Source organism: Homo sapiens, chromosome 5, assembly GCF_000001405.40.
Source record: "Homo sapiens chromosome 5, GRCh38.p14 Primary Assembly".
Lineage (NCBI taxonomy): Eukaryota > Metazoa > Chordata > Mammalia > Primates > Hominidae > Homo > Homo sapiens.
The window spans coordinates 31483865-31500279 of NC_000005.10; the positions used below are offsets into that span (position 1 = coordinate 31483865).

Genomic DNA, 16415 nt, shown 5'->3' on the forward strand with positions numbered 1-16415 from the left:
ATGAAAGCCCCAAGTAGCAAATACATACAGTAAAATTATTTTTAAAATTCAAAACTATCAAGACTTATTATAATTGAATTACTGCATGATATAATGTGACTATGTGTTCATTCTTTCCCATTTTAATCACTACACTAAAAAAAAAATGTTGAGAAATGCTATCAGTTTGAAAAGCCATTCACCAATAAATAAGTAACTGTTTGCTAGAATACGGATACTTCCAACCGCTGGGCGCAGTGGCTCACGCCTGTAATCCCAGCACTTTGGGAGGCCGAGGCAGGCGGATCACGAGGTCAGGATATCGAGACCAACCTGGCTAACACAGAGAAATCCCGTCTCTACTAAAAATACAAAAAAAAATTAGCCGGGCGTAGTGGTGGGCGCCTGTAGTCCCAGCTACTCGGGAGGCTGAGGCAGGAGAATGGCGTGAACCCGGGAAGCGGAGCTTGCAGTGAGCCGAGATTGCGCCACTGCAGTCCGCAGTCCGGCCTGGGCGACAGAGCGAGACTCCGTCTCAAAAAAAAAAAAAAAAAAAAAAAAAAAAGAATACGGATACTTCCAAAAAAGTAAGCTACTATCCAAGAACCAAGCATCAAGTCTTTGAATCTATCTAGTTCACTCTAAGTGTCTGCGTGTGTGCATGTGTGTGTTTTAATGACTAACCAAAGTTTTGCATCTTAGAAGATTTATTACAGCAAAGTTTACTAGATTTAAAATATTAACTAATGGTAATTTCCCAGGTACACATATATCAAGGTAGCTACACATAATAACTGGTACCATCTTCAAGCCGCTACCAGCTAATAATAAGCCCTGTCAAACTGTATAAAGTAAAATCCATAGAAACTTATTCATGTCAAATGATAACAAGCATTCCTGTGAATAACACTTTTCTCTGGGTATTTAAAAAATAAGAGAAATTTCAACTATCTCCCTACAACTTTTATAAGAGTTTTCACATATACCATAATGTTCTTCCATAAACACTACTCTCTTCTTTAAATCCTATTACTTACCTTTAAGATTCCAGTCATATAATTCCAAAATATCTCTGAATAGGAACAGTGAAAAGAGTTCAAGCCCTTTCACACAAAAATTCTGAAAAATAAACCAAAATTAAATTACTGTAGTTTGGCAAAATATACATTAACTGAAGGTTCAACTTGTTCTTGTCAAGTGTCTTTAAAAGTGTCTGTTAAAACTATACTAAGACCATATAGTTTCCTGAAGAGTTTGGCCACTGATCGCTAGTTTCAGATGGAAATGAAATAGACAATAATGCCACTAGGATTCCTTAATGTCAACTTAGCCCTTCTCAGTATACAAATAAAATAAGAAATTCAAAAAGTAAAGTCTCACTTATATTAATATATTTTTCTAATTCAATTATAAACTGTGTCAGAATCTTCTGAGGATGTTTTGTTAATTCAGATTATACATATGCACCTGATAGGCTTGTCCCCCACCCCCGCCCCATACATCCAGCATAATTGTCATGGAGTTACCAAAAAACAGAGGTCCTGTGTACCCAAAAAGTTCAAAAAGTAATGAATGCAAATAAAGGGCTAAGAAAATTATACAACTCTGCACCAAAATTTCTCCTGTAAACAAGCTAAACAGATATATTTGCAAGTGAGACTTATCTCATAATTCTTCCTCCTACTTGTTTTGCTCGGAGTTCATAAATCACCCTGCGTGAGATCACGCCAGAAGTCATAAACTTTTACAATAGCAAATGAAGGCATATGACCTTAAAAACCAAAAGGAAGTTAAAAAAAAAAAAAAACCCTTCTAAAGCAGGAGAATGAAGGGGTGGTTCTTTTTCTTTAATTCTTTTTGAAAGGAAGGTACAATAAACAACACTTGCTCAGAATGAAACAGGTGCCAACTAGGCACACATGTGATGCCGATCAATTTCCCCCTCCACACTCCCTGCCCATGACAGAGCTGTCCCATTAAACAAGGTTTGCAAGCAGAGCCAGGGGCTCCGGAAATTGACCCTGACTCCAACACAATGTTAAGTGCACAAGCTTGTTTGCTGTCTAGTTGTTATTTCTTAGTATGATTTGTTGACACCACTAAATTCAAGATCAGACTATGAATCATTCTGAGATTCACATTAATCTTCCTTTGGAATTTTAAATCTCTTGCATATATTGAGATAAATCTGCTGTTGAGCACTCGCAATGAAAAACAATTAGGAAAAATATGTAAATATATGGGAAGAAAAATGAACCAAGCATTGATCTTGTCATTGGAGATAACGAATAAGATTATTACAACAGCTATCAGATTGTTTCACTATTCCAATTTCCCCTCTGATAATGGCCAGTAACCAAAATCTGTCCCCTACGTAAAAGAAACTAGAAACAGATGTAAAGTTAATATCAGCAGACGTAACACAAGGAGAAAGGGGTATAAAAACAGGTCAACAAGTTGAAAATTGGCCTGAATTTTAACCTTGATACTAGAGCTACATTTCACTGACTCTTTCAACAGTGAATATGATACTTTAGAGATATTCCTGGCAAAAGCCAGATCTGGCCAAGTTCAATGCTTTAAAATAGTAGTATGGAACAAGCAAAAGAGCAAACTACATCAAACCACACACAATCTTTTCCCTTACCTCCGGCATCATCTCTTCAATGAAATGAATCGTGTAGTCTATGTTGAATCTAATTACTTTACACAGTGGAATCTGCAATAAAAAGAAGTGAGGTTCAGTTCCCCAACGTCTCCCTGCAGGCTCATATTATACACGTTTGTTACCTGACCCAAAAGGCCATGAACCAAATGAGAAGGCTTCACCTTCATCTCAGCGGCTAACAACACTGCACATGAAGCTTGACCACAACTGCTGGATTTTAATGACAAGAACCCAGCTGGCCTGGCCTCGCCAAGAAACCTGCATAATGTGGTGCTTAATTAACAGTATTAGCAGCAGCAACACAAACATGACAAGAACCCATTAAAACCACAAGTATCACCTCTAAAGAATTAATAAAACCATAACCATAAACATTTCTGTTTCTCAAGTTTTTAAAATATTTTAGAATCTCTGGCTCCTTAGGCAGATCAGGGATAGTAGGGTGATAACTCATCAATTATGGATTCATAGGTCACTGAAAACACCCAATTCATGCTGCCCATCTGGCTCTTAAGCAAAGGCAATTGTGGTAATAAATATAATAATAACAAATGATAATAAAAATAATAATAGCTAACATTTTTTGAGCCAGGCAGTGTCCCAAATGCTTCACAATATTCATTCATGTAACCATCACAACATCCCTATAACATGGGTTTGGCTACCATGTCCACTGAACAGTGCAGGAAGCTAAGGCAGAAGAGTCATCAGGTACCATGCCTAAGATAACAGGTAGCTTGGTGAACTGCGAAGTCTTTCTCTAGACTCCAGCTCTTAGCCACTAGAGTATACCCCTCTCATTACCTGTTCTAATACTCAAGATACATGTGAAAATGAAGGAAGGCTCAGCATAAAATAAATCCACATCTATCTTACTTTACCAATGTATCATCAGACAATTGCCTACTGCCTACACATAACAGGTTTTCCGTAAATATATTTTTGAATGAATTAAAGAATGAAAAAGGGAGGGAGATTACTGCAGAGAATTGGCTGGCTAGCTGGGGAAAATAACAGACCCAGAAGTCCCAGAGACGCGTTAACTGAGTTTTTCTGGCTGCTTAATCTGTCCATAAGATGATTTTATACAGATGTAATCATTTTCATAAACCACAGCAATCAGAAAGAAACAAATTTTAATTCTATCAGTGAAAGGGATGGTAAGAAAAACAGAAAAATAGTCTTATAATGCCATCTACTGGAAATCCTTTTCTCAGATACAAAGTTTAGTTCTTGGGGGCTTTTCCTTTTTATTCTAAAGAATAGTGGTTAATTTGAGTGAAATTCATAATAGCCATTATCATTTTTAAGTTCTACTTTGTTCTTATAATCATTTAAAAATATTTAAGAGTTACAAAATTTTGCATGATTCAATGTATTTTTAAAATACCTATTCTTTGCTAACAACTATATTAGGTTCATAGGTACTCTAAAATAAGCTACGGGTCCTATCTTAAGAGGTAAAGATGTGTAAGAAGAAAGGCATGTAAGTAAATACAAAAAGAATACAATGCAATGTAACTTCTAAGTTCAATTAAAAAACAAACAAGCAACAAAAAAAGTATAAAGTATAAAAGAACCAAAGAGGAGGTAACATATGAGTTGTCTTCAAAGATGAGGAGGGGCCGGGCACGGTGGCTTATGCCTGTAATCCTAGCACTTTGGGAGGCTGAGCAGCGTGGATCAACTGAGTTCAGGAGTTCAAGAACAGCCTGGCCAACATGGTGAAACCCCGTCTCTACTAAAAATACAAAAATTAGCTGGGCGTGGTGGCGTCTATAATCCCAGCTACTTGGGAGGCTGAGGCAGAAGAATCACTTGAACCCGGGAGTTGGAGGTTGCAGTGAACCAAGATCATGCCACTTCACTCCAGCCTGGGCAAAAGAGCAAAACTCTATCACCAAAAAAAAAAAAAAAAAAAAAAGATGGGGAGGAATTTTCCAGGTCATCTAGAAAAAGTTGAGGCAGAGCAGGTGTTTAGCTTCTAGAAAAATGGAGGAAAGGGAGCTGAGGAAAGAAGTAGTAATTTCACAGTTCAGATAGAAGTGCGTGGAGAGAGAGAGATGCCAGATGATCTAGAGAGGAAAATATGAACTCTATTATGTAGCCCTTACAAACCATGTTAAGGTCAGGGCTTATGGATATATGGCAACGAGAAATCATTCAAGTACTTTAAGTTACAGATTATCATCATTTACATTTCAGATGAGACACTGTGGAAACAGTGTGGGAATGGCTTGTAAGGGAACAAAGAAGACCAGACTGAAGTCTAATGCAATAGTCCAGGAGCCAAATGAAGGGAAGACTGGAAAGGAAGAGAAAAATTTTAAACACAGGAGATATTACTGAAATATACAGTGACCATTCTGATGTGGGAGGAAGAGTGAAGAAAGAATTGAGGATCATTTCTGGGTTTCTGGCGTAAGTGACCAACTAGGTCACTTAATTCAGGAGGGTGTCCCCTTAGTACCTCAAATTCAATATGCAGGGAAGATGACGAGTCTAGTTTCACACAGGTTGAGGGTAAAGTATCTGAGGAAACATCGAGGAGGTTCATTTCAAAAGGCAATCTAAAATGTGAGAGTGGAGTATTAATACAGAGGTACATGTCACAGCTATTAATATTGATCTGGTGGGGATCAGAATATGCATGGGTGGAAATGAACTACTCAGAGAGTAAACAGGAGAGAAAACAACCAGAGCTGTTGGGAATTCTCAAGAGATAGGCAGAAAGCAAATGTGCAAACTTTCTTCCTTGCTATCATAGGAAAAAGCACTCTGCTAGATGATTTATGCACGTACAGTCCTTTCTCCATTTCATTTTAAGTAAAATCACTTCTTGGAATTCCTTCTCTGACCTCTTCTCTTTGTATATACTTTATTTTCTTTTGGGCTTCCATCCATACCACCAGAGCCCTTCTCAGACACACAAATTTGGAAAGGCAGGATCTCCTCATCTATTCAAACTGTAATCTCTCTCTAAGTGTCAAGAAGAGCTTGTTATTTTGCTACACAATGGTCAACCAAGAAACTGTGTAACTTCAAAGATCACCAAAATACCTCCCAACAAATGCCATCAAATAATATAAATGACTACCATCATGTTTGAATACTTAAAAGAACATCCTATACTGACTTATACTCCTATCTCACCCTAGCAAAAAAACTCAAAAAACTAAAAAACTCTCCAAACCTCCATCTTCTAACTCTACTACTTCCACACACTGATTGACCAAATCCAGGAGTCAGCGAGTCCACTGCAAATGGGAAGCCAACTAAAGTGGGAGGGAAATGATCCAGGGGTTCTCCTGTGCTTTTGAGAATACGACAAAATACGGTGTAACTCATACATATACCTTACATTTTTTTTCTTTTTCTTTTTTTGACGCGGAGTTTCGCTCTTGTCGCCCAGGCTGGAGTGCGGTGACGCGATCTTGACTCACTGCAAACTCCGCCTCTTGGGTTCAAGCAATTCTGCCTCAGCCTCCCGAGTAGCTGGGATTACAGGTGCCCGCCACCACACCCAGCTAATTTGTGTATTTTTGGTAGAGACAGGGTTTCACTATATTGGCCAGGCTGGTCTCAAACTCCTGACCTCAGGTGATCTGCCCGCCTCAGCCTCCCAAAGTGCTGGGATTACAGGTGTAAGTCACTGCACCTGGCCCTTTTCCTTTTTTTTTTTTTTTTTAAGAGACAGGGTCTAGCTCTGTCAACCAAGCTGGAGTTCAGTGGGGCAATCAGCTCACTGCAGCTTCAAATTCCTGGGCTGAAGTGATCCTCCCGCATTAGCTTCCAGAGTAGCTGGGACTACAGACAGGCATTACCACACCCAGCTAATATTTTTATTTTTTTGTAGAGATGAGGTCCCCCTAAGTTGCCCAGGCCGTCTTGAACTCCTGGCCTCAAGCAATTCCCTTGCCTTAGTGCCAGGATTACAGGTGTGAGCCACTGCACCTGGCAAATACACATATCTTTAAAACTTCAGATAAGTTGTCAGAGCTCTTAACATCAGGTATTACAATAACAAATGTACTACATAAAAAGGTAAAATTCTCCCAGAATGCTCTATACTCAGCCAACAAGGCTTTCAATCCACTTCAATTCAAGACCTTAAGAGAACTTATAGAACTAGATTTGGTGGAGATTCTGTCATTACCATCATTTGCATGACATGCTTACTGACATTCTCTCTCTAGCAAGAAAAGGAATCAGATTGGTAAAGCAATTTAACAATTCTTTTCCTTAGGAGGCTATTTCAAATTCAAGAGGCCTTTGATGGATCTAATTCCTATGAACTGCACAACAGTCAGCTTAAAACTCTATTTTTATCAACATCTCTAATACAAATGATAGGGTTTGTCATAGAATAAAGTTCTCACCGAGAACTTGAACATTTACATAAAATATATGCTGAAGCCAGGAATTTTTTCTGTCCTTTTGTTTTATAATGACAGTAACGACTGTGACTAATTTAGCAACAGTGGCCTCTCAGGCCAAACCTTGTGCTGGGGGATGTTTTTAAAAATGATGTTTTCTACTCACTTTTGCTGTAAACCTAAAACTACTATTTTTTTTAAAAAAGTCCACATTTTAAAAAAATTATGTCTGATTCTCACTAAAACCCCAAGCATTGCTATCATTAATGAAGTTCAAAGAATTCACTTGTCCAAGGTTAAAAAAAAAAAAAAAAGGATTCAAAGAAAGATTCAAACCCAGCTCTGTCTGAAATCCTTTCCAAAGAGAGAGGTGCCAGTATTTATTATGTGCCAAACACCATGGTAAACACTTTTCATGTGCCATCTTATTTATTTTTCACAAAAGCCAATGAGATTGTTCCCACTAATACCCTAATCTTACAGATGAGAAAGCCAAAGCTTATAAAGATTGAAATGTCAAATCACAGAGCTATCACTAATTTTAAACCCTGGTCTCTCTAAAGCCACACTGCTATCCTTCTTTGTTTAAGGTGATCCTAAAAGTCAAAATAAGATGTATATTACTTCTAGGGAATCAAGAAATAAGAGGAAGAATAGTTTTAAGTATTTTCACGCTAACTAAATTCTGTGTATTTATAAGCCCTCTGTGGGGAAAAAAGAGACAGGCAGTAGATGGTGGGGGGTGGAGAGTAATCAACTCTAAGGCTATGAGATTCGGTGTAACAAAGGGTTTCAAAGTTTGTGACACTTGAAAAAAAAAAATGCAAAGAAATCATGAAAATTCAGAAACCTCTTAGTACCTTTCCATAAAGATTATTTAAGAATGGCCTAATACTATTGCTTTTCTATATTTATTTATTTATTTGAGACATAGTTTCACTCTTCTGCCCAGGCTGGAGTGCAGCAGCATGATCTCGGCTCACTGAAACTTCTGCCTCCCAGGTTCAAATGATTCTTGTGCCTCAACCTCTCAAGTAGCTGGGTTTACAGACGCACACCACCATGCCCAGCTAATTTTGTATTTTTAGTAGAGACGGGGTTTCGCCATGTTGGCCAAGCTGGTCTTGAACTCCTGACCTCAAGTGATCTGCCTACCTCGACCTCCCAAAGTGCTGGGATTACAGGCGTGAGCCACCGCACCCAGCCCATATTATTGCTTTTCTACATTAGTGAACAGATGGTCCCCCCGAAGAAAAATGTAATATATATTATGAAATGATTTTATTTTTACATTACAATGTAATCATCTTCTCAAAGAAAATTCTCTAGGATAAAAAATACTGTGAAATAAAGAAAATCTCATTAGGAAAACAATTTGTCCTAAATTAGCATCACTGCTATGGAATCATATCTACTTACATAGAAAAAAAGAATGACAAAAAGGGCTAAGCTAAGGCAAAGATTTGAGTCTTAACTGTACTCTCCAATGGAACAGAATTTCATCTGTGAAGTAAACAGTACTAAAATAATTTTTCAAATTGCAGATGTAATTTCACGTAACCAAACCAGAAGAGGTTAAAGAACATTCTATTTGATGTGGATATACAATAGCTACAATTCAGTAAGTTCTACAACAGCATCTGTACTGGGTCAAGTACACTGCCACACATCTGTTCCTGTGCCACTGCCAGCCAATTCACTCTACATCCAACTGCAATATGAAGTAAGAAAGACAATTCCTGGGACTGTGAGCATGGAGATGGAAAGATTTTGACTCATGGATCAGGAACTTCCATTTGAACCAATTACCAACAAAGCAGACTTAATACCTGTATAAAAATATCATGAATCCATATGTCAAAGTGTCTTGAAGACATATTCCTGGGATTCAAAAGCAGAAAATCTATTTCATGAATTCAGGCTCCAAACGTTCTGAATAAGCTCTGTTTCTTTTGCTCAGAGACTAAACAATGGCTTCTCCTTAAAACTTTCTTTTGAAGGACAACCAACCCAAAATAGCTTTAACACATTACTCCACAGTTTATCCTCCTTTTCCAATCTTTCACACTCTCAAAATGTTACTCTGACACTTGTTTACTTACACCATTTAATGCAGACCGAACCCGTGACTCATTAGCACAGATGTCACAATGCCACCTGATGCACTGCTGCAGACTTCCTGCAGCTCATTTACAATACAGAGGGATGCAGAGGAAATGTTTCTTAGGAGGCAGATGACAGGAAATGTTTTGACTTTTGGAAAGAAGGGATGAAGGAGGTACAAGGAAAGAGAAAAGCAGCCAACTGGCACATACTTACATTGGTCAGGGGGGCATGTGCAAACATAGAAAATCCTTCAAAGATATACTCGTGATCATCGTATTCTATAACAGTTGGCCTGTCAGTCTAAAAGCAAACAGAAACACGAACCCCAAATTAAATAAATGACATGAGTTGCATATGCAGAAATCCATCAGGACAGAAAGTAACCAATAGAACATAAGGACTTCCTTTCAGACACCAGGGAGAACTTTATACAAAGTTTAATTTTACATGAAATTATCCGGCTTCAGATAGTAAGTATAATATTTACGTACTTAGACAATGAATGATGTAATATTATGGGTGCCATAAATAAATAAAAGGCTATATTAAGCTTCATTTTCTGGGAACTTGTTTATTTAATCTCACAATACTACCAGTTCTGTTCTTAATGAACTATGTTTCTGAACTAACAGAAGTCCTAACAGGAGCAAGGTAATAACACAGCTGACTCAAATGCAAAGTGGAAAAAGACTCAGCATCATAAAGTGGAGACTAGCAACAGCCTAGAAGTCTCTCAAAGGCCTCTTGGTGCCAGAAGGTCAACCCCTCATAGCTCTATTCCCAGCCTCTCCAAGAAGTCAACCAACCAAACACTGCAACAAATCAATTCCCACACAAGTTCAAAGGCCTTAATTCCCTGAAAATTGGATTTGTAACTAAATAATACATATATCAATCTAAGCATGAAGCCCTCTATTCCTTATGCCATTCTTATAACCCACCATTGTGTGTGTGTGTGTGTGTGTGTGTGTGTGTGTGTGTGTGTGTGTGTTTGAGATGAAGTCTCACTCTCTTCCCCAGGCTGGAGTGCAGTGGCATGATCTTGGCTCACTACAGACTCTGCCTCCCAGCTTCCAACAATTATCGTGCCTCAGCCTCCTAAGTAGCTGGGATTACAGGCGTGCACCACTATGCCAGGCTAATTTTTGTATTTTAGTAGAGATGGGGTTCCACCATCCCTACTAGGCTGGTCTCAAACTCCTGACTTCAGGTGATCCACTCGCCTCGGCCTCCCAAAGTGCTGGGATTACAGGCATGAGCCACCAGGCCCAGCCATTTTTAACCTTAAATGCTAAATATGGCAGTAATTATTAAGACTGATGACCTATAAGACATATTTCTAACACAGATATTAGATTTCATTCGTTTAAACATTATCTATTAAGAACAACTTGGAAAGAGGGGGAGCAAAAGAATATCGAAATATCTATTATTTGTTTTGCCAATATTATTGTTAATTTATATTTGAAAAACTTCACAAAGATGGTCTAAATTAAATAAAAGGAAAAGAAAGCCAGGCATAGTGGCACATGCCTGTAATCCCAGCTACTTGGGAGGGTGAGGCAAGAGGATCACTTGAGACCGGAGTTCAAATTCAGCCTGGGCAACAAAGTGAGATCTCACCTCTGAAAAAAGAAAAAAATAATGAGCAAAAATGGTACAGCCACTTTGGAAACAGTTTGGCATTTCTTCAAAAAAAAATTTTTTTTTTTGAGACAGTCTCACACTGTCGCCCAGGCTGGAGTAAAGTGGTGCGATCTCGGCTCTGCCTCCTGGGTTCACGCCATTCTCCTGCCTCAGCCTCCCGAGTAGCTGGGACTACAGGTGCCCGCCACCATGCCCGGCTAATTTTTTGTATTTTTAGTAGAGATGGGGTTTCACCGTGTTAGCCAGGACGGTCTCGATCTCCTGACCTTGTGATCTGCCCACCTCGGCCTCCCAAAGTGCTGGTATTACAGGCGTGAGCCACCGCGCCCGGCCACCATTCACTAATTTTCAAGAAATGTGGAAGTGTTCTATATTTTCTTCCCACTCCATAGCTCCAACATTGTTGGCTATTATGAATTTGGCTATTAAGTGATGCCAACAATATTTAATGAAAAAAAGATATAGCAGTATAGTGAAGAGGAAGCTGAAAGAAACGTCATCGTGAGAAAGGCCAATTTGTCAACATAAAAATAAAATATTTTTCAAAGTAAGAACATTTGAGAACAGAATCAATAACTTTAGCCTATTCACATTTTACTCTATTTACATTTTAAATGATATGCATGTGATTCTTTAGAAACTTACTAAAAAGTTCGTAGGCGGGGAGACTGTGATCCGGTAGTGGAAAAGTCTGCCAGCATTGTTGGTCATAGGACGACAGGGCTTGATGGCCTGAGGGGAAAAAAACGAAAATCAGTTTACAAGTAAAGCAAGAGTACTTTTACTTAAAAATATATTGTATTTCCTAGATTCACATCTAACAAAACAGGTTTTATGTCTGTTCCTTCACAGACTGGTAGGAAAGAACAGTATTGGCTTTGCCATACCTAGACCAATAAAAAAGGGCTGGCCAGTCTCCAGCTCTCAGCCGCTTCCTCAGGTGCTGGTGAAGCAAGGATGACCAATAAGGCCGCAAATGTCTGAGGTTTTGGGGCCTCCAAAATACCATGAACTTGGTAAATGAGCAATTATCATCCATGAGGGTACCAGAGGGACACCCACTGGACTGCTAGTACACATAGGTGGCCTTGATGAAGACTTGGTGTTCTTCCATCTGGGTCGGTGGGTGAGCAGGCCACGTCAGTTGTAAGGAGGGTCTGAAGGAACTCATGAGGCTTGCCGGAGATGGGCCCATTTGGGAGTCCCCTTTATTGCAGCTGCCAGTAGAAGTAGCTCTGCCCTTGTTGCAGACAGCTGGACAGGGTCTTGTCCTGTGGGTGATGGGCCTGGGGAGGCCAAGGAGAGCGATGCCAGGTGTCTGAACCTCTGGCTACAAGGTGCCAAGTTGGGGCTGGGAGAGGTGTGAGCTGCAGCTGGAAACACTTGGTTGGGTGGTGGTTGTGTCTTGGCATTTTCCAGCATGGCAAGGGCCCACAGAGCCTGATTAACTTCGGAGACCAAGAGAGCTTGTTTGGCCTGTGATGGGACTCACCTTAAAAACAACTGTAAAGTAGGGCCAGGCACAGTGGTTCATGCCTGTAATCATAGCACTTTAGGAGGCCAAGGTGGGAGGATTGCTTAAGCCCAGGAGTTCAAGACCAGCCTGGGCAACAAGGCAAAACCCTGTCTTTACAAAAATTAGCCTGGTGTGGTGGTGCATGCCTGTGGTCCCAGCTACTCAGGAGGTTGAGGCAGGAGATCACTTGAGCCCAGGAGGCAGAAGTTCCAGTGAGCCAAGATTGCACAACTGCACTCCAGCCTGGGTGACAGAGGGAGACCTTGTCTCAAAACAAAAACAAAAAGAAAACCATAAACATCTGGCTGCAAGGTGGCCTATACAGGGCTCTCCCAGCGGTGCCCCAGTCCCATGGAGGTGGCAGCTGCATAAACCCACTGAAACATGCTTAAATGTTCCTTCCTGAACTTTACACCAGCTACTTTCAGCCCTTGATGGGGACGTTCATGCTGAGGTGTGCTATTCTCCAAGCCATAAACAGCCACTGCAGCAGAGGACAGGGACAGCTTATGGCTGCCTGCTCTATGCCCACAGCCCCATCAAGTTGTGCTCCCTGGATAACCTTGACTGGGTGTTGAAGTCATGAGAGATCTTACCATCTTTGGAGATAGCTACCGACTGTTACATTTTTCAGTCTGTGAGTTACAGTCCAGTTCCTGTGTGATACACACAGTACAGCCAGTGACAACTTTCTCACTGAGTCCCTGCATCAGGTCTTTGAGGAAGCTCTAAATTTCTGGCCTTGACAAAGGGTAAACCTATTTGCAGACTTCCATGGTGTCTGGGGCATGCCTCCTCATCTGAGCAGGTTGTGGAGGTGACAGCCACTGTCCTAACCATGACCCAGGTGGTGACTGGTAATGCCTGTAGTGCAACCAATGGTAACCCCGTGCACTCGGGATCATCATTCCACAGCTTGAAGGCCTACGGATCAGCCAGGCCAAGTGATGCGACTCTGAGCTGAGCCCATGTGACTGGGGTACGTGGCACCCAGCAGGCATCTGAGGGTAGAGCACATCCCTGGAGAAGCTGCGCAGTCCCATCAGGAGTGCAGAGAGGATAATGTGCCCTTCAGTGATTGTACAGACTTGCAGGGGATCATCTTCTAATTCCCCCACTGGCAGACAACAACAGAGAGGCTTTCTGCAGATAAACCTGACCTAAGACTTCCTGGCCTATGGTGTCACAATCCCAGGATCCTTCAGGCCAAGATGCTCCTCTGGCACAGCAAGGGCTGGAGACACGCCAGCCGGCAGTCAACTCTTGAAGCCAAGGGCATCCCTGACATCCAGACAGTCCTCCTCCACTTGGGAGCCTGTCCCCCCTTACTATGGGCCTGGAAGGATCTTAAGAATAATTTTGGCATGTGCCTGGTGGCAATTTCCATAACAGAGGTACAAAGTGCACACAGAAGGTAGCAATTGGCCAGAAAGCAGAATAAAAACTGCCAGTCCCACTGTGGAACAGTCCATAGGGCTCACCCAGTAGCTGGATCAGAGATAGCTCCCATTCACTCTCTCATGATTCTCTCATAGAAATGAGTGCCATTACTCACCTGCTTATGCAAATCCCATCACCATCCCCAGCTGTCGTGTTGGTGGCTGGGGTGTTTTGAGTGGACCTAATTAACCAGCTCTTTCAGGAGGGACTTCTCCCTTTCCATCTGATTCTCCTCAAAGATAAGTCTTAGTCACCAACTGATGCTCAAGCAGTTTATTCTGCTTATTCTCTTACAAGACGAACAGCAGACGCAGGCCAGATATAGCCAGGGACTTAGATGACCAAGTCACCAGGAGGGTCTTCATCCAGAGACCATTCTCAAGTTTGGAGGATCCTTCTCCTTTGCTTATACCTGTATTCAGTCCAGGTCAGTTACCAGGTGTCTCTTTTCTAAAAGGAGTTTAAACTATTCTTGTAAGGGGAAACTTTGTTTTAAGACTTATGAAAGCTGCATCTGTGCCTAGGTGGCCTTGTCTCCTGGAAATCTCCAGGCTAGGTTGTAGACTGCTGACACAGGCTGACACGGACAACACTGCTGACATGGAGTATCAGCCCTGTGAGACACCTGAATGAAGTTATGGCTACCCTTAATCTTACAGCCACAATATGCCACTTACAGTATACTCCAGAGGGGGTTCAGACTACAAGATTTAAGGATCTTTCTAGATCTAGAATCCTATGACCATCTTCCTTTTACTTGTAAAATAACACAATAACTGACCTTTGGTTATACTTATGAATAAACTGAAAAAAAAAGTGGGGAAATTAATCTGAGAACTAACAGCAGTGAGTGTTAATAGGAAATTTAAAAAGCTAGAAGGAATAAATATGCTGAGTAAAAATCGAAAAGGTCAGAAATGAAGAAAGCATGAGAGGTGGTGGAACAGTATATGCATGGATCTTAAGACGGGAAAAGGCTGGCCAGGCACGGTGGCTCATGCCTGTAATCCCAGCACTTTGGGAGGCCAAGGTGGGCAGATCGCCTGAGGTCGGGAGTTCAAGACCAGCCTGACCAACATGGAGAAACCCCATCTCTACTAAAAATACAAAATTAGCCAGGCGTGGTGATGCACGCCTGCAATCCCAGCTACTTGGGAGGCTGAGGCAGGAGAATCACTTGAACCCGGGAGGTGGAGATTGCGGTGAGCCGAAATCACACCATTTCACTCCAGCCCGGGCAACAAGACAAAACTCTGTATCAAAAAAAAAAAAGACGAGAAAAGGCAAACAAAGCCAGCACAAGAAGTGTGCTGTGACAGCATCAGTTGTGATGGCATCATTGGGTGCACCTGTGATAGACATGGGGCTGTGCCACGCAGACCCACGTTCAAGGAGGGACTTGCTGCCTGGCTGTGGAGGGCACAGACAGCAAGGAGCTTCCAGCTATAAGCTCCTTCAGGATCTCTCTCCACTGCAGATCTCCATCCTCTGACCTCAGGCACGGTCCACATCAGGTACTGAGCAAGGCAGAGGTATAAAGGCCCAGCCATTTCAGCCCAACTCAAACGGGCAATATGCATTCCACAGATCACCCCCAGGCTGAATGCAGCTTTGGTGGGCCTCACTCACAGTTCAGCCAATCCTTCTGTCCAATCCTGCTTCCACCCTCTTCCTTTCACAGGTGTTGATTCCTAATAAACATCATGCACCCAAAACTCCATCTTAGCATCTGCTTCTAGAGAACCCAAGATGAGGCTGTTGGTACTAGGAGTGACCCAATAAAACAGCAAATAAGATGGTGTTTTGGAGCTCAATCGCCTCTCAACAAGCAATGAAGATGCCATCACTGGTGGTAAGTGGAACACAGACAGCCCCTGGCACCAGATGGCAGGGCAACTAAACTTTAAAGATGGTGAATTAGAAGCTGTACACCGGAAGCAAGCCAAACACCCAGGTGTTTAAGACTGTGGAGAAAATGATAGCTATAAGAACAATGGCTATGATCCTTCAGGGATGGATGGCTGTCGCTAAGCACCAGTGATGCTCTACCATAGTCCCCAAACCTTAGTCTGCCCAGAAATCACCTGGAGGGCTGGTTAAATCTCAGACTGCTTGTTCCCCACTCCCAGTTTCTGATTCAGTGGCTGGGATGGGGTAAGAATCTGCCTTTCTAACAAGTTCCCAGGTGAAGCTTTATGAGTCTCAGTTGGGAGCCTTCACTTAGAGAACCACTACACTACAGAAGTATAACAGCAGAGGAGGAGAAAAGACTATTAGAAACCAGATGTGAAAGCCAGAAGAAACTCTCACTACCTACAGTGGGAGGTCACAGCAAGGCAGGACCAAGCCTAAGGCTTACCTGTGAGAGGGGCCAAGCCTCAAAGAAAATTAGCCACAGTCAGGGCCCAGGAAACCTGAAATGGGGACATTTATGTTTTGACTCCCCAGATTCCTCTAAATCATCTGACTGCAGAGATGGCACATCCCTCCCAATTAAGAGCAACCACTCACTTGTACCAGAAGACAATGGAAGAACCTGCAAGGCAACACTATCCCCCTTCACACACCCCTCAACCAGTCTCCCCTCCTGGCCAATACCTATAATTGGGGTCATTTCAGGGCCCCAACTGGGGAGGTGCTGGAAGGAAACAGATTATATTTCAAAAGAATTGCAGGAACTAAC

General features: G+C 41.7%; 1 protein-coding gene across 3 annotated transcripts in view, besides 2 other annotated features; it reads right to left on the minus strand.

Moving 5' to 3' along the window:
* The window catches only part of DROSHA (drosha ribonuclease III), a 131600-nt gene that overhangs the window by 83371 nt on the left and 31814 nt on the right, over positions 1-16415 (minus strand). For all 3 annotated transcript variants that reach the window (NM_013235.5, NM_001100412.2, NM_001382508.1), the window contains 4 exons: positions 11422-11508; positions 9343-9429; positions 2627-2698; positions 1017-1098 (listed from right to left, as the gene is read on the minus strand). In NM_013235.5, the coding sequence (NP_037367.3) occupies positions 1017-1098; positions 2627-2698; positions 9343-9429; positions 11422-11508 (328 nt within the window). The remainder of the gene's footprint in view (positions 1-1016; positions 1099-2626; positions 2699-9342; positions 9430-11421; positions 11509-16415) is intronic.
* Positions 9058-9352: a silencer, noted in NCBI's record as "tiled region #6191; HepG2 Repressive non-DNase unmatched - State 15:Elon". NCBI's record gives its function as "represses a minimal TATA promoter and a strong SV40 promoter by Sharpr-MPRA in HepG2 cells {active_cell/tissue: HepG2}" and the evidence as "EXISTENCE:reporter gene assay evidence [ECO:0000049][PMID:27701403]".
* Positions 9749-10249: an enhancer, noted in NCBI's record as "H3K27ac hESC enhancer chr5:31493720-31494220 (GRCh37/hg19 assembly coordinates)". NCBI's record gives its function as "activates a minimal SCP1, AML or CMV promoter by ChIP-STARR-seq in naive H9 embryonic stem cells {active_cell/tissue: H9 hESC(naive)}" and the evidence as "EXISTENCE:reporter gene assay evidence [ECO:0000049][PMID:30033119]".